The sequence below is a fragment of the Homo sapiens genome, chromosome 2, assembly GCF_000001405.40.
Source record: "Homo sapiens chromosome 2, GRCh38.p14 Primary Assembly".
NCBI lineage: Eukaryota > Metazoa > Chordata > Mammalia > Primates > Hominidae > Homo > Homo sapiens.
The window spans coordinates 226,645,460-226,668,183 of NC_000002.12; the positions used below are offsets into that span (position 1 = coordinate 226,645,460).

The following is a 22,724-nucleotide window of genomic DNA, read 5'->3' on the forward strand; positions in this document are numbered from 1 at the left end:
TGCCTTGGCCTCCCAAAGTGCTGGGGTTTACAGGCATGAGCCACCATGCCCGGCCACCAAATGGGATTATCACTCTGGCCCCAAGAAATGAACAAGATGATTCCATCTGCTTAGAACACACTGACAGTATAATTTGTGTACAAATATGATGTTTGAATTTAAGACGGTGACTTGTTTTTTGCTGCTGTCGGGCTTGCTGGCTTTTTGATGTACCGGAGCGAATCATGAGCTAGATGAGTCTATGCACCCTAGCTTGTATGAGCTTGGCTATTTTCATTGGCAGCCCTGACTCTACCAGTTTGTCCTGCCAAAGGACGAGGCCTCAGGTCCTTTCCCAAAAACAGCCTGATGTAGCAGGACCCACAACCAACCTATTGCTGCTGCTCCAATGGGACCTGCCACCATACTGGCTATCCCCACCCTACACCCGGTGAAGTATTATACATTAAATGCAGATGTGGCTGGCTCCACCCACCAGCACCATGCATGTCACCCTGCCCAGGGTCTGAAAGCAGTGACCCTTCCCCTCTCCAGAGTGGACTTTCCCTTTACCACCAGTAGGCGTAGGGGTGCTAAAGGCAGCCACAAAGTTTGCTGTACTTTTCCTCTCATTTTGTGAGTTTGTATTCTCTGAGAGAGGCCCAATCAGTTGAAGGAAAAGTACCAATCCTTTGTTCCCTCTTTGGCATTGGCGCTTAACCAGTCTAAAGCACAAGAGAACCCTACATACTTGAGCCTCATTGCAGAGCCACAGCATGCAGCAACACAGCCATGTATCTGAGGAGTCCTGCTGCCAAGAACCTGCTTGCTTTCCTTTAATCTAGTTTCTCAAACTATTTTGAACATGGAACACTTTTGAACAACCTGATTTTTAGGGATCCATGTTGCTAAAGACTGGCAAAAGTCCTGGGGGCTTTGGAAGGAGCTCATGCAGCAGGATGCTCTGGGTGAGCCCAGACTGATTTAAGCTTTCAGGTGGGTCAGAACAGGTGGCCTAGGAAGGGTTACTTGTGTACCTTGGCATGAAATAATCTGCATGTGAGCTCCAGATCCTGTGCTGGTAACGTAGGTGGAGTTGGTGCAGGAGAACCTGAAAGGAGGAAGGGAAAAGGGAGCAGAGAGGCCAGAAGGAACAGTGTGGAATCTGCCTCCTCCTGCCACCCCTACCCTTCCTACGCACCTTCCGTGGCCTCCAGCTTGAACACCTGGACAGAGAAAGCTCAGAGTAGCTCTGAAAACCATGACACGGTAGGTGCATAAGACTGTGAACACAGTGGGGGCCACTTGAGGCCCAGAGCAATACTGAGTTGAAAAGAGAAACATTCTGTTGCCCAGGCTGGAGTGCAGTGGCACGATCTCAGTTCATTGCAAGCTCCGCCTCCCGGGTTCACGCCATTCTCCTGCCTCAGCCTCCAGAGGAGCTGGGACTATAAGTGCCCACCACGCCTGGCTAATTTTTGTATTTTTAGTAGAGACAGGGTTTTACTCTGTTAACCCTGTTATGGTTAACACAGTGTATGGTCTCAATCTTCTGACCTTGTGATCCACCTGCCTCGGCCTCCCAAATCATGCTGGGATTACAGGCATGAGCCACCATGCTGGGCCGAAACATTTTTTTTTAAATTTCAACTTTTATTTTAGATACAGGGGGTACATGTGCAGGTTTGTTACATGGGAATATTATGTGATGCTGAGGTTTGGGTATGGATCCCACCACCCAAGTAGTGAGCATAGTACCCAGTAGGGAGTTACCCACCCACACCCCCCTTTTTTCCTCCTCCCTCCAGTAGTCCACGTGTCTATTCTTCCTATATTTATGTCCATGTGTGCTAAATATTTAGCTCCCACTTACAAGTGAGAACATAGGGTATTTGGTTTTCTGTTCCTGTGTTAATTCACTTAAGATTATGGCCTCCAGCTGTATCCATGTTGCTATAAAGGACATGATTTCTTTCCTTTTTATGGTTGTTTAGTATTCCGTCATGTATATGTGCCACATTTTCTTTATACAATCTACCGCTGATGGGCACGTGGGTTGATTCCATGTCTTTACTATTGTGAATAGTGGAGCGATGAACATATAAGTGTATGTGTCTTTTAGGTAGAATGATTTAGTTTCCTTTGAGTATATGCCCAATAATGAGATTGCTGGGTCAAATGGTAGCTCTGTTTTAAGTTCTTTGAGAAATCTTCAGACTGTTTTCCACAGTGGCTGAACTAACTTACATTCCCACCAGCAGCGTATAAGTGTTCCCTTCTTTTTGCAGTCTCATTGGCATCTGTTGTTTTTGGACTTTCAAGTGATAGCCATGCTGACTCGTGTGAGGTGGTATTTCACTGTGGTTTTGCTTTGTATTTCTCTGATTGAGAGGTGACAGCGTGCTGGCAGCCCTCGCAGCCCTTGCTCGCTCTCGGTGCCTCCTCAGCCTCGGCACCCATTCTGGCCACGCTTGAGGAGCCCTTCAGCCTGCTGCTGCACTGTGGGGGCCCTTCTCTGGGCTGGCCGAGGCCAGAGCCGGCTCTCTCCGCTTGCAGGGAGTTGTGGAGGGAGTGGCACGGGCGGGAACTGGGGCTGCGCATGGCACTTGCCGGCCAGCTAGAGTTCTGGGTGGGCATGGGCTTGGCGGGCCCCACACTCCGAGTGGCTGGCCAGCCCTGCCGGCCCCGGGCAGTGAAGGGCTTAGCACCCAGGCCAGCAGCTGCGGAGGGTGTGCCGGGTCCCCCAGCAGTGCCAGCCCACTGGCACTGCACTCGATTTCTCACCAGGCCTTAGCTGCCTCCCAAAGGGGCAGGGCTCAGGACCTGCAGCCTGCCATGCCTGAGCCTCCCCTCCCCACCCCACCATGGGCTCCTGCACGGCCTGAGCCTCCCCAATGAGTGCCGCCCCCTGCTCCACGGTGCTGATCCCATCAACCGCCCAAGGGCTGAGGAGTGCAAGCAAACGGCGCCAGACTGGCAGGCAACTCCACCTGCTGCCCAGGTGTGAGATCCACTGGGTGAAGCCAGCTGGGCTCCTGAGTCTAGTAGGGACTTGGAGAACCTTTATGTCTAGCTAAGGGTTGTAAATACACCAATCAGCACACTCTATCTAGCTCAAGGTTTGTAAACACACCAATCAGCACCTTGTGTCTAGCTCAGGGTTTGTGGATGCACCAATCGGCACTCTGTATCTAGCTAATCTGGTGGGGACTTGGAAAATCTTTATGTCTAGCCGAGGGATTGTAAATACATTAATCGGCACTCTGTATCTAGCTCAAGGTTTGTAAATGCACCAATCAGCACTCTGTGTCTAGCTCAGGGTTTGTAACTACACCAATCAGCACTCTGTATCTGGCTAATCTAGTGGGGAGGGGGAGAACTTTTGTGTCTAGCTCAGGGATTGTAAACACACCTATCAGCACCCTGTCAAAACGGACCAATCAGCTCTCTGTAAAACAGACCAATTGGCTCTCTGTAAAATGGACCAATCAGCAGGATGTGGGTGGGGCCAGATAAGAGAATAAAAGCAGGCTGCCCCTGCCAGCAGTGGCAACCTGCTTGGGTCCCCTTCTACACTGTGAAGGCTTTGTTTTTTCACTCTTTGCAATAAATCTTGTTGCTGCTCACTCTTTGGGTCCACACTGCCTTTAGGAGCTGTAACACTCATCATGAAGGTTTACAGCTTCACTTCTGAAGCCAGCAAGACCATGAACCCACCAGAAGGAAAAAACTCCGAACACACCCAAACAGCAGAAGGAACACATCCAAACATCAGAAGGAACAAACTCCGGACACGCCCGCCGCCTTTAAGAACTGTAATACCTCGAGGGTCCACGGCCTCATTCTTGAAATCAGTGAGACCAAGAACCCACCAATTCCGGACACGTGATGATTACCGATGCTGAGCAATTTTTCATGTTTTTTGACCACTTGTATGTCCTTTTTGAGAAGTGTCTGTTCATGTCTTTTGCCCATTTTTAATGAGGTTGTTTTTTACCTGTTGATTTGCTCAAGTTCCCTATAGATTCTGCATATTTCGCCTTTGTCAGATGCATAGTTTGTGAATATCTTCCTCCATTTGGTAGGTTGTCTGTTTACTCTGCTGATACTCTGTTTTGCCACTTCATCTCCCATCCCCATTTTCTGGCCACAAACTGCAGCATAACTTTGGCCCCTTGAGCTAAAAAATAACAGCCTTTCCAGGGCAGCAGCAGCTGAAGAACCAGTAAAGGACCAGGCCAAGGTGTCCAGAGGGGAAGACAGATTCAGACTTGTCACTGAGCACAGGAAAGACATCAAATGCAAGAGCATGGAAGGGTAAAACCACCACCATTAGCCCTTACTGTGCCTGTGATTACATCCAGAGGCTGGGGAGCCCCCAGCACTCTGACTCTATTCCCTTTGCTGTTAACTTTCTGGTTTCCTCCTTCCCTTTTTCTCCAGGCTGCACTTTCCCCTCCCTCACAGTATCTCTGGAACAATCAGATTCAAGAAGGAGGTAACTGACAGGCAGGGCCTTTTCTATTTTATTCAGGCAACTCAGTGGGTGGTGGTGTCAAGGCCCCCCATGGGGTTACTGTACATGAAACAAGTCCATAAAACAAACGGTCAAACTCGGGTCGGGGCTGTTGCTAGTAAAGGGAGTTCCCGTTGTCTTAAATCACCCTGGATTGTTTACTGCAAAAGGCAGTGGTTAATCTGAAACACAGACAGAAATAACTGCAGCCTTGTGCCTCTGCATGTCTTGGCTGAGCCCAACTTTTGCATTCTAAGCACTGGAAGTACCAAGTGGCCAGGATGGCTGGAAGCCAAAAAGTAATGTTTCCTTTTGCTGTTGTTGAGAAAGGCATTCAGGAAAACAATTGAGCACAATAAGGGCCTTCCTGTTCCGGCAAGCAGGCAGCCGTGTGAACCACCCAGTAAACGTGGAGTGAGTCATCCTGGTGCACTGTAAGCTTCCTTCGCCTTTGTCAATAAGTTCGCTCAGAGGCAGCTGTGGGGAGCATGCAGAACACAGCCCCAGCAGGCTGCAATACTGCGGATTGCTCCCCTAGATTAGCATTTCCGAAATCTATTTCTCCCATCTCTCCAGGCACCACAGATTTCCCCCCAACAAAGTCAGCGTTTACACAGGGAAATGTCACAAACACATTTGTTTGGGAAAGGCATGGGCCATGCATCTCCCTCCAGCTGGGAAGTCGGTTCTGCAAGGGAAGTCTCACTGAGGCTTGCTCTTAAAACATTCAAAATGCCTAAATTTCATGGGATTTTCATTATGTGGTGTACACAAACTATGTTGACTAACATGCACTTGATTAATTGTAGCTGCCCATAAGGGGCAAATCACAATGATTGAGTTCAAATGAAACCAGCTATGTACAAAATTGATTAGAATGAGACAGGAAAGAGATAACACCTTAAAATGTGTTTTGACCTTTAATATTTCAGGCAGTGAGACTGAAATACTACGTTGTACTGAGATGTCCTGGGTCACTGAGAAGGACCTGGAGAGATGTAGGATGGTCAATGATTCCTTGATAGTGGTAAAGATGGAGCATGCTCTCTCTCTTTTCCTTTCCCTTTCTCTCAGTCTCTCTCCCTTTCTTTTTGCCTCTCTCCCCTACTTCTAGGGTATTCCATTTTGCCATGAATGGGTCTAAACTCTAAAAGATCTTTCAGAGCATGATCCAGTAGAGATGGCAGACTTGACATCATTCTTCATAACCATTCTTCATAACCTGTTCCAGGACCCCACCTACAATGGTGCTTAAACCAGAGTTAGAATGACTGACATTAAGTTTTAAGCATCCATTTTGCCTGCTCAAAAAGAGTTGCCACTAGCCATTCATGTTTTATTACAGCGAGACAATCTATTTAGGTAAGAGACAGTATGCTGGTATAGTATTTTGGGACAACTGTGAGTTTTGAGTCAAATGACACTGTTTGGGCCTGAACTGTTCTGTTTTCTAGATTTACCACCTGGAGAAGTCATCTGACTTCACTGTGCCTCAGTTTCCTCATCTTAGAATGGGGATAATAATAATGCCTGCCTCACAGAATTGCTATGAGGATTAAATGAGATGACCTAGCTAATTTTACTTAGTCTTACCCAGTGCCCAATAAATGTAATTAGTAGTACTACTACCACTACTACCATCACTACTACTACAAACACTAATAAACTAAATAGCCATTGAACTCATTATTTTAATTGAAGGTCTAATAAACCAGGCTTGGCTGAGCTAAAAGCATATTGTCACCCCTTAAAAACGTATAGCCTCTCTCTTCTGCCAAACTGAAACTAGGCTTCTTAGAGGAAGATGTTTTTGATAAAGGATGAAGGTGATTTGTCAGTTGAAGAGTAGTATCATTTTGCAATCATAGTAGAAAATATTTCAAAAACATGCAAGGTTATAGGAGAGTAAAGCTACCAGATTTCTCCAAAAAATTGTTGATCGTTGCAATTGATACATAGTTACTAAAAATTCACATTTAAAACACATTTAAGTTTCAACTAAACAAATCAGGTGAAGCAAACGAAAACATTAATTTGTATTACACTAAAATATCTGCCAGATTTGTGCACTAACTGGATTAGGCTTATAATTAGAGGAAATTCCAGGCTATGTATTCCTTCACTCAGTATGAAGCTATCTAAAAAACAAATACACTTGAAAATCCATTTTTACAAGTCAGGTGGCAGCCGCTTGCACATCTCAATCAGTCAATAAGAAAACATTTTAAACTGAGCTACTCTGAAGAAGCTCAGACATTCTTTAAGTTAAGACACATCTCATTTCCCAGCCACAATCTGCATCCCTAAGACAGATGCAGTTTTGATCCCAGCAGTTCCATGAAAGAAACACTTCCACAAAGTCAAGAAAACCCAAAGTTCAGCAAGATTTTGGCAGTGTGGCCAGAAATTTAAAAATAATTCTGGTTAATATACCCAAAGTTTTTACCAGTGGTCTTGGTGAGCATGGTCCATTTTCAGCTCAGTCAGATCTTTGGGAAACTGAACCACAGAAATAACATTGATCCTGAGTAACTCAGACACATCCCGTGGTTTTGTGCTTCAAAGGTAGCCACAAATTCTTAAGATATGATTCATAGTCATCAAAATCTATGAATCTCCTGTGAAATTGTTCTTTCACTTCCACTAAACAGCTCTGTAATTCTTCAAATCTGTGACGCCATTGAGGTCAAGGAAGTTCAACAGTAAATTATGAATGCAGTAGGAAATGAGAGTAGTTATTAACTGCTCGACCAGTTGGCCAGTTAGAACCTGCGTTTCCTTGAACAAGGAAAAGAGAGAAGTCAGGGTTCATGGAAGAGCTACTGAAACAGATATTCAAAGCCCACGGACTTATGTCATCCAGGATTCTATGCCAAAATTTGAAAATCCTATCAAACAACCTAAGTCTATACATATGCCAGTCAGGAGAATTTAGGAGCTAGGCTACATCAGAAAAAATTCTAGGGGGAAGAAACCTATTGATTCTGCCAGAAGAAATACTCTATTAATTCTTTACTCCAAAGCTGGGAACCATAAAAATGCTCAGGGAACCTATATAAGGAATGCCACTCCAGGCATTCCTTATCAGTTAGCTTTTACTATATAAGAAACCACTACAAAACATAGTTGCTTAAAATGGTAGCCATTTATTTAGCTCACAGTTCTTCAGGTTGGTTATAGAACTGTGATCTCTGATCCTCTGGACAGTTCTTCTGGTTTTAGCTGGATTTGTAAATAGGTCTGTGGTTGGCTGCTAAGCCAGTTGAGGTAGGCTGGTCTAGAAGAGTATCAGCTACAATGGCTAGTCTTTATTCCACAAAATCTTTCATCCTCCATAGGTTAGCCAGGGCTTGTTCATAAATTATCTGAGCAGTGTTCCAAAAGGGAGCAAGAAAGGTAGGTGCAAGGCCTCTTGGAATCTATGTTCAAAACTAGCACACTGCCATTTCCACCGCATTCCATTGCCAAAGCAAGTTACAGAGTCAGCCTAGATTCAAGAAGTGGGGAAATCACTTCCACCTATTGATAAGAGGAGTTTCAGAGTCAAATCCAGGCATAAAAAATTGTGGCCACTTTTGCAATCCACCAAAACCCTCTCTCCCACATGCTCCTTAATGCCCCACTAGCTAAACCAACAAGACAGATCATAGTCAGCACTGACTGAGTGCAGCATTTCTGTTTAAGACAAATCAGAGCAACAGCAAGAATGCCTGATGTTCCTTCATGGCAGCCTTCCCACTATTGGGTACTCTCAAGATGGGAGATAATCCTATTTGCCTGAGTAGTAGATAGCTACTACTTCCCAGAGTAGTAGACAGCTGTCCCAAGTAACTGACTGTAGTAAAGCTCAGCTTTATGTCTCTGGGCAAATAACTGGGAGTGGAGGCATGAAGGAAAGCGTAGTTGGAATACCCTGAGCTGAGAGAGCCAGAGGAAAAACACAGGTATCCTGATAAATGAGTACTCGTGCTCCTCTGGGAAACTGGGATTTTCTTTTATGCTTGGTGTAAACTAAAACTACTGTGATAGTTCATTTTACGTGCCAACTTGACTGGGCCATGACATACCTAGATATCTGGTCTAACATTATCCTCAGCATATCAGTGAGGGTGTCTTGGGATGACTTTAACATCTAAAGCAGTGTGCCCTCCCTAACATGTATGGGGCTCATCCAATCCATCGAAGACTTGAATAGAACAAAAGATTAACTCCCCCAAATACCAGGGAACTCCTCTTGCCAGATTGCCTTTGAACTGGGACATTGGTTACTTCCTGCCTTTTGACTCAAAGTGAAGCATCAGCTCTTTCTGGGTCTGAAGCCTGCCAGCCTTCAGACTGGAATCACACCATTGTCTCTTCTGGATCTCCAGCTGCTTGCCAACTTACAGATCTTGGGATTTGGCATTCTCCATAATCATGAGCCAATTCCTTACAATAAATACACACACACACACACACACACACACAACATCCTACTGATTCTGTTTCTCTGAAGAACTCTAATACAACTACTTATTTGGATATTGTGCCAGGCAAAAGGGCAAAGGAATATTTGATGCCTGGTAAAGGTAAATGGCTGGTTTGTACTCAGGTTTGCCATCCCTTGTTTCTTTCCCTGTTAGCAAATAATCCCAGTCGTCCTGGGAAGAATATAAAACTTGAACTAATAACTCTCTAGTGTTGCTGTTGGTCTTGTTATACTATTGTCACTACAGTTGCCCCTTTTTGTTTGTTTTGGCTGTTTGTGCTTTGTTTTGCTTTTGCCTAAAATGGTTAAACACCTCGAGTTCAACTGTGAGATGTGCACCTGTGCTATCTATCAACAAACACTCTCAATGTGGAACTTCTCTGGGAATCTTCCAGAAATCCAGTCCACAAGATCCAGTGTGCAAAGAAGCTCTGTCATTGGAACCTGATAGCAGAAATGCTAGGAGTAAACTCATGGTGACCAATCAGTTTGTCCAGTTTGCTCAAGTACCTCTTGCAATGACTAGAAAGTTTGCACAGGTACCAGAGAAATACATTACTAGAGAAAGACATTTCAGTGGTGGGCTTTGGTTTGTTATTGTGTTGGCTTTGCGACTTTTCAACCTGGATCAATTGAACTACAATCCCCAGAATTCTCTTTCTAGTCTGTTTCTGGCTAGCATGGCCTACAAAGAATATCCTTTCCTGGAAGGAGGATGGAAAGGGGGCAGCAGCCATATTATAGCATGTACCTACCTTCTCCTAGTGATTCAGCAAACTCTTATCCAGGTGCCAGTGTGAAGGGATCTTGCAGGTGTAATTAAGTTCCCTACTCAGTTGACTTTAAGTTAATTAATAGGGAAGTCCTGTTGATCAAGATGGAAGTCCTTTAATCAGTAGAAAGGCCTAGACCTTCCCTGAGTTGAAAGATTCCACATTCCAGCTCATGCTTCTGGGGTTCTGGCATGCTCATTACTTCCCTTCTGACCATCTTCCCTATGGACCCCAGGCCTGCTTAACCAGTCCCCACAATTGCATAAACCAATTTGTTGTGATAAATCTCACACCAGTTCTGCTTCTCTGGTTGAACCCTGACTGATATAATTGTCATCTGAAAATAACAAGAATATATTCAAGTTTGCCATTTGGATCTTCCACAAAACCATGGGCCCCTACAAAGTATAGTGGGGAAACCACAGACTCTGGGGCCACATGGCCTGCACCTTCTCCCAGCATCTTTCTTCACCAGCCAAGTGACTTTGGGCTACTAAGTCTCATAACCTCTCTGAGCACTGTCTTTTTACTTGTAAAATAGTATCAATACTAAGTCCAAGCCTACCAACTTCCCAGGGTTGTTTTGAAAAATCAAAGGAGATATCGTATGTGGAAGCACTTTGTAACCTGCCATACAAATGAGGGGTGTTTAGTTTTAAGATCACCTAGCCTAGCATTTTTAGTTAGGGGAGGCAGAGAAATAATAAACATTTACTCATGTCCACTGTGTATAGGAAATATGAATATATACTCCAATGCAGTCTTCTAGACTTTCTCATGAGGCAGACAGTGTTTGCCCCACGTGAGAGATGAGAAAACTGAAGTTCTAAGAAGTTGGCTAACTTCCCTAGATCACAGAATATGATTTGCAGTCCAGTGTGAAAATGGTTCTTACAACACCAAAGTCCAGGCTGTGTGGCCATGCCAACCTCCTTCACAAAAGAAGGACATTTCTTTGCATGTGACACCATGATAGTCATGCTAACTCCTAAAAAACTTTCAAGACATACTTTCAGTATCTCTTTGGAATTTACTAGTTTAATTGAGGAGCAAATAATCTATTTTGATTAGTGAAGAAGTTATTTCATCTAATATGCTCTGAGTCACAACACTTAAGAAACCAATAGAAGACAAAACATTTTTTGCTTTTTATATCCAGCAAATTTTCTTTTCCTAATTTACAATAAAACTATTCCAAGAATAATGAAAGCGAAACTGTATTATTTACTGATTTTGATTGCCCCAGTCTTTAAGTACTCAGAAAAGACACTTTACTGTTTGTGCGCACAGGGAAATTATTGTGGTTAGAGGTTAAAGCTATGCAAAAACAAACAAAAAAATTAATGTGCATTTTCCTCAAAAATTTAAAGCAGCCAGAATAATTTATGGGTTAGGCGTTTTCTGAGAGTTAATGATCAACTGTCTGAAAAGTCCTTGAGACAGTTAGTTGGTAAATGGCCAGGAAGTCCCTTCCACTGAGAGCTGAGGATTTCGAGACATTTGTTATGCAAAAATAGAACCTGAAATAAGCAAATATATATCATAGAGACTGGGATTTTTTCAGATCACTCTATTACATATAAAATTAATTCTACTCAAAATAACTGTAAAAATACAGGTAGAAAACATAAAATATTTATTAAATACCCACCAATTATTATGCTTGGCATTTTAAATCACTTTTCTCCTAATTCTCACAAAATTTTCATATTTATTAACCCCATTTTGATGAAGAGGAAACTGTCAGTTCATGGACTCACATAGCTATTAATAGTAAGAGCAAAGCTGGGATTCATACCCAGTTCCAGTCAAAGTACTTGCAGTTTCTACTTTTTGCATACCTGTAGCCTTTTATTTAAATGATTCTCTATTGTAATTATAAAATAAGAAAGAGTTCTATTTTAATAAATACTGTGTTAACCTTACAACTTGGCTCAAAAACAAAATGGAACACAATGTGCAAAAATAAAATCATTAATGCTATTTAAAGCTTTGTGAAACTAATTCATCTATCACAGAATTTAAATTTTTATTACTTTTCATGTGGGGGCCAAAGAATTTTAGTTACTTCTTATTTCATGGGCTTCTCATAGTGCAATCGCTGATGGTAGGGACCTTGTTTTTACCCTAAACTCTATATTAAACTCGGATTAAACTAAAGTTGTCAACACACAGTAAGTGCTCAATAATTATTGGTGAATGAATGCAATCTTACGTATGCCTGGTGCTTTGAAACTTACAAATCACTTTCACTCATTATTGATTGTGACTACGACAAGAAGGCTGTGTATGAGTTAGTGACAATCATTGTTAGCATCACTTTAGAGATAAGAAAATTGAAATGTAGAATAAGTTGAGTAACCTGCTCAAAGCCTCTTGGATTTGACTGTAAATCAAGGTCTCTTGAGTACAAAGAACAAAGTTTTTGTCCTACTACAAACACTCCCCCATTAAGGAATATCAATTTTTGTTAATGTTTGACAAAACTATGCCTCTTATTTAAATAAAACACTGAAATGAACAGACCCGCATGATACCAAACTGCATGTTAGAGTTTGAGGTCACCAGTTTATTTGAATTGCTTGAATGTGCTTTTATCATACTGACCATCTTACAAGGTAGATCAGCTGTTGCCAACCATGATATTGGGTCAGCAGAGTATTGATGCATCTGAGATCAACACATGAGAAAGGAGAGGATTTGGAGCTGGAAATTGCAGAATTATCCATGCAGCAACTTGGTATGAGCGGCCATTACCAACAGGAAGGATAGCCATTAACGGCATCCATGGGGGAGAAGGTGAGGAACTAGTGAACTAGAATGATTATCAAAATGCCAAAACAAAGAAAAGATAAATAATGGAGGTGATGAATATCCCGATTATCCTGATTTGATCATTACACATTATACACATATATCAAACAACAAAAACAAATGGAGTGATGAATATCACATGTATCAAAATCACATATATCCCAAAATATGTACTACTATAGATTATTTTTTATAAAGGCCCAAACAGTGAGAATTGCATTTACTTGGTTAACTATGTGTTGACATGGCCTTTTTTGAGATTTTATATTTAGATCATTTTGATAAAATTGCATCATTTTTAAGAAAAACTTTTATGTGCTTATGTAACATCAAGTTTGCAAAACTACAGTCATAGTAAAAGCAATACAAGCCAAAAACTAAATGTATGAGTGTGTGTATGTGCAGCTCTTATAATATGGAGTACATTGAAATTAAAATATTTAAAGGGATTCATTTCCACTGGAGCTATCCCCATGTGTGAAAATAAACACATTTTCTTCTCAATTACCCATGGTATTATTGGCTCTCCACAAACACTTGAAGAGCTTGACTAAGCCAAGTTATGTACTACTCAATGCTTTTTAGCAGTCTCTCTTAAACTTTTTTTACTTCCATCTAATCCCTGGTCATAGCCTCTGGGAAATTCAACACTATGGAGAAAGGGCCATTTGCTTTGTGGTCTTACATAAAAGAAGTTATCACCCAAAAGTCATGGGATATGTTGCTGACTCAACCTACAGAAGGATTTCAGGTTGGATCAGCAACATATCCCAGGAGTTGAGGCCGCCAAACCTCCTCTTAAGGCCAAGTCACAGCAAGTTTACTGAGACAACTGGAGAGATACCTGTAATGACTGCTGGAACTCACTCCAAAACCAACATCTATAAAAAGAAACTTCTCTTGAATCTCCGGTCCAAATCATCAAACCTATGTGTTTTCCTAACAGGAAACAGAGAAGAAACCACTTTTCCTCTTCACTCTGGCCTCTATTGAGAAAGAATCCAACTTCTGAATATTCAGGAAAAGAAAGTGCTTTTTGGTGTGACAACGTAAGCAACTCTCTAAGTCCCTAAGGAGCAGGAAATGTGTAGAGAATAGCCACCTGTGTGTATATTACCTCTTTCCAGCCACTCTTTTTTGTTAGCCAGCAGCCAGGTTGCAAGTACATAGTCTGTACTTATCTGTGCACCATTTGAGGACCACCAGATAATTAAGTCACACTCACATTGAGATATTTCTCCTCTGTCTCCATCCTCAGTTCCCCTACATCAGCCTGGGTGTAAAAATATCACCACAAAATAGCAGTGGCCCTATCTCCTTGACTGTCACCTCCTCTCATATATCTCTAGCCCCACTGAAAATCCTATCTACTCATTAGTAAGAGTGTTCCCAGGGGTGACCTCAGGTGCACCAGAAACCATCCAATTCCCTCTGTCCTGTCCTTACTGCAGCTATTTCCTACCGTCTTTCCATGAGGCCTCTCTGAACTGTGAGGCTTTGGACAGGGCCTCATTGCCAGCCCTGCTCTGGGCCCCACAACAAGAAAATTGCGCTCCCGGCCAAAGTGTGTGTTCTCTGTGGGGGTCCTGAGGCTATACGGTGGCTTCAGCCACTTCCACTGCCAGCTCCACCTACCAGGCACCGCCCGACACAATGGTCACAGGAATCCCTGGATTCAGTGCCAAAGTGAGAAGAATAGTGACTGTAGTAGTCTAGTAGTCAGGATTCTCCAGAGAAACAGAGAAAATAGGAAAGAGAGAGAGATGAGAAATGTGTGAGTGTGTGTGCATGTATAGTGTGTGTGTGTATATATATTCAGAGAAACAGAACCAATAGAGTGTGTGTGTCTGTGTTTGTGTGTGTCTGTGTGTGTATTATATATGTGTGTGTATGTATATATATATATATATATATATATTCAGAGAAACAGAATCAATAGCGAGAGAGAAATAGAAAGAGAGTGTATGTCTGTGTTTGTGTGTGTCTGTGTGTGTATTTTATACATATATATATATTCAGAGAAACAGAACCAATAGCGAGAGAGAGACAGAAAGGGAAAGTGTGTGTGTGTGTGTGTGTGTGTGTGTGTGTATAAAGAAAGTGGGGTCTGGTGTGCAATTTTAGGGAATTTGGGTAAGTCCCCAATCTGCAGAGTAGGCCGGCAGGCTGGAGACCCAGGGAAGAGATGACACTGCAGAGTTCGGAGGCAGTCTATTGGCAGAATTCTGTCTTCTGTGGGGAGGTCAGTCTTTGTTTTTTTTAAGGCCTTCTACTGGGTAAATGAGACCCATCCATATTATGGAGGGCAATTTGCTTTACTCAGCACTTACTCATTTAAACGTTAATCTCATTTAAAAAATATTTTCGAGGAAACATCCAAATGTTTAACCAAATTTCTGGGTACTGTGTCCCAGACAAGCAGATACATAAAATTACCCATCGCCTTTTTTGTTTGACATTTTAGTAACTCTCCTTTGGGGTCCCACCTCCCTTTTGGTGGGCTTACAGCCCAAACCAGTCATTCTCAACTCCAAAGGACATTTGTGGCAGTCACAGCTGGGGGAAAACTACTTGCATCTAGTGGGTAGAGGCCAGGAATGCTGCAAAATGTCGTCTAATACACAGCCTGGTTCCCAACAACAGAATTTTCCAGTCCCAAATGCCAATAGTAGCATTGCAGCTGAGAAACCCTGCTCCAAATGACCAGTTCACTTCCTGTCTCTAACCCTGTTCATTATTGCTTCATCCTCTCTGGCCTCCTTTCAGGTCACAGAGCATGCCAATTCCTTCCCTCCTTGGGGCCTCTGCAATCATCATTCTCACTGCTTGAAACACTCTGCTCCTTGCAGGGTTGGCTCTTTGTCATCTCTCAAGTTTCACCAAGAAATCCCACCCCCACATGCCCCTAATCCCTGTCAGTTTCATTAACCTGATTATGTCTTCATCACCAGCTGACATTTGCTTGCTTTACCTTGTACATCTGGATCTTGTTCCCCTCAAATATAAGCAGGATGAGTACCTATCACTAGGCTCCAAGGACAAGTGCCAGCCCTGGAACATAGTAGGTGCTCAACAAATAATTAGGGAAGGAAAGGAATTAAGGGAGGAAAGAATGCCTTAGACTTTTTTTTTTTTTTTTTGAGACAGCGTCTCTCTCTGTCACCAGGCTGGAGTGCAGTGGCACGATCTCGGATCACTGCAACCTCCGCCTCCCCGGTTCAGGCGATTCTCCTGCCTCAGCCTCCCGAGTAGCTGGGACTACAGGTGCATGCCACCACGCCCGGCTAATTTTTGTATTTTTAGTAGAGACGGGGTTTCACCATGTTGGCCAGATGGTCTCGATATCTTGACCTCGTGATCCACCTGCCTCAGCCTCCCAAAGTGCTGGGATTACAGGCGTGAGCCACCACGCTCGGCCAGACATTTTTAATGAATGTCACTCTCCCCATGTGTTTCGTTTCCAAACACACACACACACACACACACACACACACACACACACCCCACCAGCTCAAATACGTGTTTATAGGATCCGTTTCCAAAAAGTCACCAAGAGAGTAGTTCCTGTACACTAACCCTGCCCCCAGAATGCTGAGTTGTTTTCTATTGAACTTAGAACACGAACCCAGCCTTTTTCTCAACGACATCCTTCTCCCAAGACACAATGTGGCCCCTCATGCCAACGTGTGTGAACTCTACTCCCCACCCCTTAATCTTCCTAACATGCAGAGATCCCTTAGATTTAAAGTGCAACCCCTGCTATGAATCAATAACTTTAGAAGGACTTACCACAGAAAGAGATTAGCATGAGAAAGCTAAGCAGATATCATCGCAACAGTTCACTTTAAAAATACCACCACTCCTTCTATCTGTGACTACAGATGCCTCCTCACAGAAGTGGGGCAGAGATCATCTAGCCAGAACCAACTAGCAGGTCATCTGCGCCTCCCCCGTCCACGCCAATTCCATTCCCCGCTCTCTCCTCATGTGCTAAGTTCTCCCACGTTCTTACGGTGTCAGCGAAGAATTTATACATGCCTCTAAAGTGACTCACTGCATGAGTATTACTGTTTATTTTTAGCACCTTGTTGTTTTGCCTATAAATCCCTCTAAATGTCATTTCTCACTGCCTGGCCCCTTTCAGGACAATATGGCATGCTCCTCGAAATGTCCTCTCACTGGGTCCCTCTGTTCTCAGTTCTGCCCACAAGGCCACTGCACATGGCTGCCCACGATGGAACTGACCTGCCTCTGCCATCTCTAAATCTGGAATAAATCCCCTTCCTGAGTAAATATCCATCCATCAAGTGTGCAGGATAACTATTTCCTCCAGAACACCCACTGTTCAGGAAGACAGATGGAGATCTCTGAGATGGGGCCACCACGGAAACCATCCACAAGGGAAACAGCTCTGACCCTGGACTCCCTTGCTGCCTCCATTCAAAGCACCCTGTCTGAGAATTAAGTTGTGATGAGAGATCATCTGCCTTGCAGGTGCAGAGGCAGCAGAAGAGCCACCTGTGTTTTTCCTCTGCCTGGCACGTGGGTGATTGCAATACTCTGGATGTGCACCTTCCACAGCCGTCGCTTGGATTCACTGGCCTAGTAGAAGACAGTGCCGAGAATGGGTGGCAAAGACCCATGTTTCCCATGACACTTGTGAAAATGAGGGGCAGAAAGATCCTCTGAAGTACCACTCAGTCTACCCAGAAAAGAGTAGAATCTGTCCAGTTTAATTTTTGATCATTTTATGACTAAATAATCTCAAAGTTTAAAAAGGCATGAAAGACCATCTAAACCAATTCTTTTATGGTACCAAGGAGGCAAGGCCCATATTGGGTGAGTACCAGGCCCAGGGCTGCACACATAGGTTATGGCACAGCTGAGTCTGGACTCCAATGCTGTCTTAGCTGATTTTCTGTTGCTATAACCAAATGACTGAGACTGGGTAATTTATAAAGAGAAAACACTTGTTTCTTATAGTTCTGGAGGCTGAGAAATCCAAGGTTGAGGGGCTGCATCTGGCGAGGGCTTTCTTGCTGGAGGGGACTCTGCAGGGAACCCAGGTGGTGCAGGGCATTACATAGCAAGGACTTCATGACAGACAACCAAACTGGCTTTTTTAACAGACCCACTGTTGTGATAACTAACCCACTCCCTCAATTGCCTATTAATCCATTAATCCAATAATGACTCCATCACCCCTCAGATGTCCCACCTCTCAACACTGCCGCATTGTGGATCACATAAACTTTTGCAGGACACATTCAAATCATAGCAGATGCCTTGCCTTCTAGGGTTGATCCTGTAACAACTGCCATGTCATCTTTTCTTTTTCCTCCTGTCCCTTCTTTCTTCATCTTATAAACCATCTATTCCCATTCCACATGTTTCTGCTGGGGGTTAAAAGTCCCTACCTTCCCCCAACTTCCTGGAAACTCTGATTAGTCCAGAGAGTAGTCAAGTGACCCAAATTGAAGTAATGAGATATTTTTTTGAAAATGGATACTGATATATGGATCATGAGAAGTGTATTAGCCAGGGCAAGCTAACTGCTGTAACAAACAACACCAAAATTGTAGTGGCTTAACACTGTAGAGGTCGGTTTTTGTTGGCTTGTTTACTCACTTAATGGCCCAATGTGGGTATATGCTGGTGGCCTTCCACCAAGTCTCCCTGTATCCCCTAAACCATGGAGTCCTCATTGAATCCCCTGCAGCTTCCTGGCAGCTGGGGGAAAGAGACCTGAGGTGAAGACTCCTGGGAGGGAGTGACACGCATCTCTTCTGCCCACCTCTCATTAATCAGAAACCATTGTATGCGCCCACCTAATTGCAAGGAAGGCCAGGAAAAATAGTCTAATTGTGTGCCCAGGAGCAAAAGGAAAGAGTAGGACAAATGACCCAGAGGGAGTTGCCAGGATCCATATTTCCTGCCATGTGGAAAAAGAGCCGCTGGTAGATGAAAACAAAACATAGCAAAGCAAAGATTAAAAATAAATAAATAAATAAATAAATAAATAAAAGATGTGAGAAACGTTATCTGATCCCCTGGATAGGCCATATCTGATGTTGGACCAATTCCTGCACCTATCTCTCAAAGAAAGCATTCTTATGTTTATCAAAACATATTCAGCAGGATAATAATTCAACTGGGACGGCAGATTAGAAATTTTAAAACTTAAATAGTTGTCTGGATTGGCCTACACTTGTGTACAACTTATGCATCCTCTTGGGCCCACCTCTTCCTCCAGCCACTTCTTTCAGAGTCCAGTTCTGCCAGGCTTTGACCAGGCTCTCCCAGGTGCCAGCTGGCAATGCCTCACTTTGGCCCAATGCCTAGAGCCTCTCTCTTCCTGCCTTGGGTTTCTCTGACCCTGCCGCCCAGTTCTTCCATGGGAACTGCCCAGCCATCATGGAGGGGCCACCCAGAGGTACAGGGAGCCAATACACATGGGAATCACCCTTGACCAAGGTGGTTCAGGAGCCAATGGGTAAATGCTCCCCTTTTGCCTCCTACGGGGACAATTCCAAGAGACAGTTGATGGGGCCCTAGTCAGAGGCTCAAATGATAGTTCCCAAGATTCCAGTCCCTCTTTCTGAACTTTTTGCCCTGCTTTCCCAGGTTTTATTTTTATTTGGCAGAAAGCCCCACAGTGTTGAGCACCAGGTGCCCTTCATGGTGGCCGACTCAGTGACACATTCTTGTGTTGACCTCTTTTCCTTCCCTTTCTCACTCTGCTTTGCTTCTTGCCCTGCCCTCTGCATTTACACTTGCTAATAAATTTTACACTCACAATGTTTGGAAGTCTCTGCTTTTGAGGGACCCAGGCAGCTCTATCGCAAGAGAGAAATTTTAATATGATGATATGTGCTGTGATTCTCCTAGAAGAAGTAGTATGCAAAACTTCCCAAAAGTGTCTGACTGGGCCACTCCTTTTTGTTCTTCCCAGAACCTACAGAACTAAAATAAACTGCCCCTCTATTGATTTTGCTTCTTGATTGTAGGGTGTCTGATTCTCTAACTTTTTAGCATCTCCAACCAGTTCACAGCATTGAGGGAGCAGACATTGACCCATTGATAACCCCAATCTACCACACAACAACCGGCACAAAGTTAGACACACAGTAAATACTCAATAAACACTTGCAATTAGGTCAATAGGAGGCTCACTGGTTGAATAGCACTCAAATTTGAGCTATTTTCAATGATCCTTTAAATCAAAATGTTTTCCATTTTTATTTTACTTCATTAGAACAAAGTAAAATATGATCCTTTCAGTCTCTGTAACAGCACACTGATTTTTTCTCTTCTTCCTTTGCTCTCCTTTCTTCTCCCCTTTTCTTCTTTCTCTCTCATTTCCTTTTTTCCCCTCATTTTCTTTCTTCCTTGCTTTGCATCTCTTCCACCATTCTTTATTTTCTGTTTTTTGTTGTTGTTTAAAATTCAGAGGAAAAGACTCCAGGGACAGTGAGTCAGTAAATGAAAATTGTATCGACTCCCATGGTAGAGAAAGTTGTAAACCACTGAGAATTCCAAAATAGAAGTATTTCTTGTGGGAAAATCATCACCATGTCTTCCACTCCCATCGATTATGATGTTAATTTGTCTGTATCATTCTTCAGTGTTTATAATTATCTTAGGCAAAGTATGTTTTAAAGAGTGTCTTTCCTATCTCCCAACTCCCACCTCCCACAAACTGCATTTTATTGGTGGTGCTTGCACAACCCAACGACTGAAACCTCAGTGAGAAAGTAATAAAGTGCTTAGAAGTAATAATTGATGGTCAGCCCATCTTACATTTGGGGGTGTAGTTAAAGGCAGAGTCCTTGTAAGCTCTCCTAATCCCATTTATTAATGGTTAGCAAATTGTGATTATCAATCAAAATCAAAATGTGTGTGCTGTCTCCTTGACCTTTGGGTGGTAGAATTTCTTTTTACTCATTCAACCCCTATTTGTTTATGTGTACCTATCAGGAGTTTTGATATGTGTAACGTGATAAATTTATTATTATTAGAGCCATTGTCTATTAAGAGATGATTATTTGATTCCATACCTAATCTTTTATATACATCTTTGTGTTTAACTTTAGTTTCACAAAGATTTCCTAAGGTAGGGATTGCTATCCACGCTTTATAGGGAGGTTAAGTAACTGGCCTACCATTACACAGCCAATCAGGTGGCACAGGTGGGATTTAGACCCACATTCGTCTGAATTCAAAACCAGCACTCCATGAGTAAACATCCATTTGACTGACATGAGACAAATCAGAGATCTGAAAGGTTAAATGACACAATACATGTGCCTAGCACGGTCCATAGCACATAATAAAGTCTAAAAAATGTTTGCTGCTAGGATTATTATGATGATCATTACTACTGTCATTATTACTGCTACTATTATTATTTTCATTATCAAGGTTCCAACACTTGGGATCTAATTTCCAGGACTTAGAAATACCTCAGTTGTTAAAATGATAGGTACAACTTTAAATTCCCTAAACCAATCACAAAAGGTGAAATGACAAGAATCCAACAAGTTAATAAACACATTACCAAAATGCAGAATAAATGAATGAATTTAAATAACAACTGTTTCTAAAGGGCTCACAATTGTTCACAGAACTTCACCTCTTTAATTGATTTTTTAATGAGCTATCCAAATGAGAAGTATATTTATTTCCATTGAAGAGAAAATGTGGAAGATGGAGAATTGTGTGAGCAAGTTATAGTAAGGGCAAGCAGGTAACAACTTTCTGGGACATAAGAGACTAGTGTTTCTTATCGTACAAATGAAAGATCATATTCCAACTTCATGATGGACATATCCCAAGTTGATGTTTATACCAAATGGTAGAGAAATTGGTGACAAAGGAAGTCAACCTCTGCAAGCTATTAAACACTGAGTCACTTTACCTAGAAGGACGGTAAATTTCCTTTTCCAAAAGTGCAGTTTCTGGTTGGGTATAGTGGCTCAGGTATGTAATCCTGGCACTTTGGGAGGCCGAGGCAAAAAGATTGCTTGAGCCCAGGAGATCGAGACCAGCCTGGGTAAGATGGAGAAACCTCTGTCTGTACAAAAAAGTTATAAAAATTACCTGGGCATGGTGGTGCCCACCTGTAGTCCCAGCTACTCAGGAAGGTGAGGCAGGAGCATCCCTGGAGACCAGGAGTTCAAGGCTGTGATCGCACCACTGCACTTCAGCCAAGGTAACCGAGTGAGATCCTGTCTCTAAAAAAAATAAAAATAAAAATAAAGCGCAATTTCTAACTCACAATCTATGTTCTAAAAACAAGTCAGTTACTTGGAGTCTTGTGCTCAGAATGCTATTTCCCACCTCCACATGATGTAGTCAGGTCCAGGGCCAACCCACAGATATTTTTTTATAGGCAAAATACAGCAAAAGAGCCTTGTAATCACCATGACCCATATACTATGGACAATGGGAAAGTGCTCCTGGGATTCCAATCCAGGATAGCAAGAATGTGTCTGCCAAGCTGCAACCCTAGAAGCAGGTGAAAGTTACCCTTCACCTCTTACCTGCTAGCCAGGAAGTAGAAGCAGAGACCCTACTGGATCTCTGAGGCCTGGGATAGTGGCTTTGGTGGAGAAAAGGCCAGAGAGATGGTGAAGGGCTCAATCAGGGACTCCAAGTGACAGCGGCTAGGAAAGGCTGCAAACTCTTGGAAGGCACTGGAACTGCTTCCCATTCTGTGTGTTTACCTATCCCAAGTCCGCAGGGCTAACTTCTTCAAGGGCTTCTGATGGTATTTCCTCTTCCCCTTATATACGGAGGAGACAGCCTCAAGTTTCCTTGCTCTTCTTTGAGATTCTCAAAGGACTTTTCTAAGGTGTTTTATTACATCTAATGTTTCTCAAAATGTGAGCTGCAGACACTCTTAGGTGGGGCTCTAGAGTACGGTATGAGGACAGGCAGTTAAATTCCAGCTCCAGGTAATGGACCACGCCTTGCTCCTCGGCTTCCTGTCAGCCATTCCCCCTTGTTTAGTTAAAACATTCCCAACTTCTTTGTAGGAATTACCCCCTCCCCACTGTTGAGACTCTAAATAAAGGTGTCCTGTCCTACTCTGACCAAAGGGTAGGGCTGAGATCCATACCAGGCCTAATCTTTCCTGGGACATTGATTCTTGGCCAGCGTTACAGAATTAGAG

General features: G+C 43.1%; 1 non-coding gene across 1 annotated transcript, besides 6 other annotated features; it reads right to left on the minus strand.

Moving 5' to 3' along the window:
- Positions 3,738-4,653: an enhancer, noted in NCBI's record as "OCT4-NANOG-H3K27ac-H3K4me1 hESC enhancer chr2:227513913-227514828 (GRCh37/hg19 assembly coordinates)". NCBI's record gives its function as "activates a minimal SCP1, AML or CMV promoter by ChIP-STARR-seq in naive H9 embryonic stem cells {active_cell/tissue: H9 hESC(naive)}" and the evidence as "EXISTENCE:reporter gene assay evidence [ECO:0000049][PMID:30033119]".
- Positions 4,654-5,567: an enhancer, noted in NCBI's record as "OCT4-NANOG-H3K27ac-H3K4me1 hESC enhancer chr2:227514829-227515742 (GRCh37/hg19 assembly coordinates)". NCBI's record gives its function as "activates a minimal SCP1, AML or CMV promoter by ChIP-STARR-seq in naive H9 embryonic stem cells {active_cell/tissue: H9 hESC(naive)}" and the evidence as "EXISTENCE:reporter gene assay evidence [ECO:0000049][PMID:30033119]".
- Positions 4,655-4,784: an enhancer, noted in NCBI's record as "active region_17193". NCBI's record gives its function as "activates an Ori minimal core promoter by ATAC-STARR-seq in GM12878 lymphoblastoid cells {active_cell/tissue: GM12878}" and the evidence as "EXISTENCE:reporter gene assay evidence [ECO:0000049][PMID:35858748]".
- Positions 4,674-4,968: an enhancer, noted in NCBI's record as "tiled region #2633; K562 Activating non-DNase unmatched - State 24:Quies, and HepG2 Activating DNase matched - State 5:Enh". NCBI's record gives its function as "activates a minimal TATA promoter and a strong SV40 promoter by Sharpr-MPRA in K562 cells, with weaker activation in HepG2 cells {active_cell/tissue: HepG2 | K562}" and the evidence as "EXISTENCE:reporter gene assay evidence [ECO:0000049][PMID:27701403]".
- Positions 4,925-5,014: a silencer, noted in NCBI's record as "silent region_12388". NCBI's record gives its function as "represses an Ori minimal core promoter by ATAC-STARR-seq in GM12878 lymphoblastoid cells {active_cell/tissue: GM12878}" and the evidence as "EXISTENCE:reporter gene assay evidence [ECO:0000049][PMID:35858748]".
- Positions 10,481-10,681: a silencer, noted in NCBI's record as "peak4063 fragment used in MPRA reporter construct". NCBI's record gives its function as "represses an SCP1 promoter by STARR-seq MPRAs in K562 erythroleukemia cells {active_cell/tissue: K562}" and the evidence as "EXISTENCE:reporter gene assay evidence [ECO:0000049][PMID:32103011]".
- On the minus strand, positions 13,251-13,334 carry MIR5702 (microRNA 5702). Its single transcript, NR_049887.1, has one exon. It is a non-coding gene; the product is annotated as a microRNA 5702 (primary transcript).
- Positions 13,335-22,724: the final 9,390 nt, after the last annotated feature.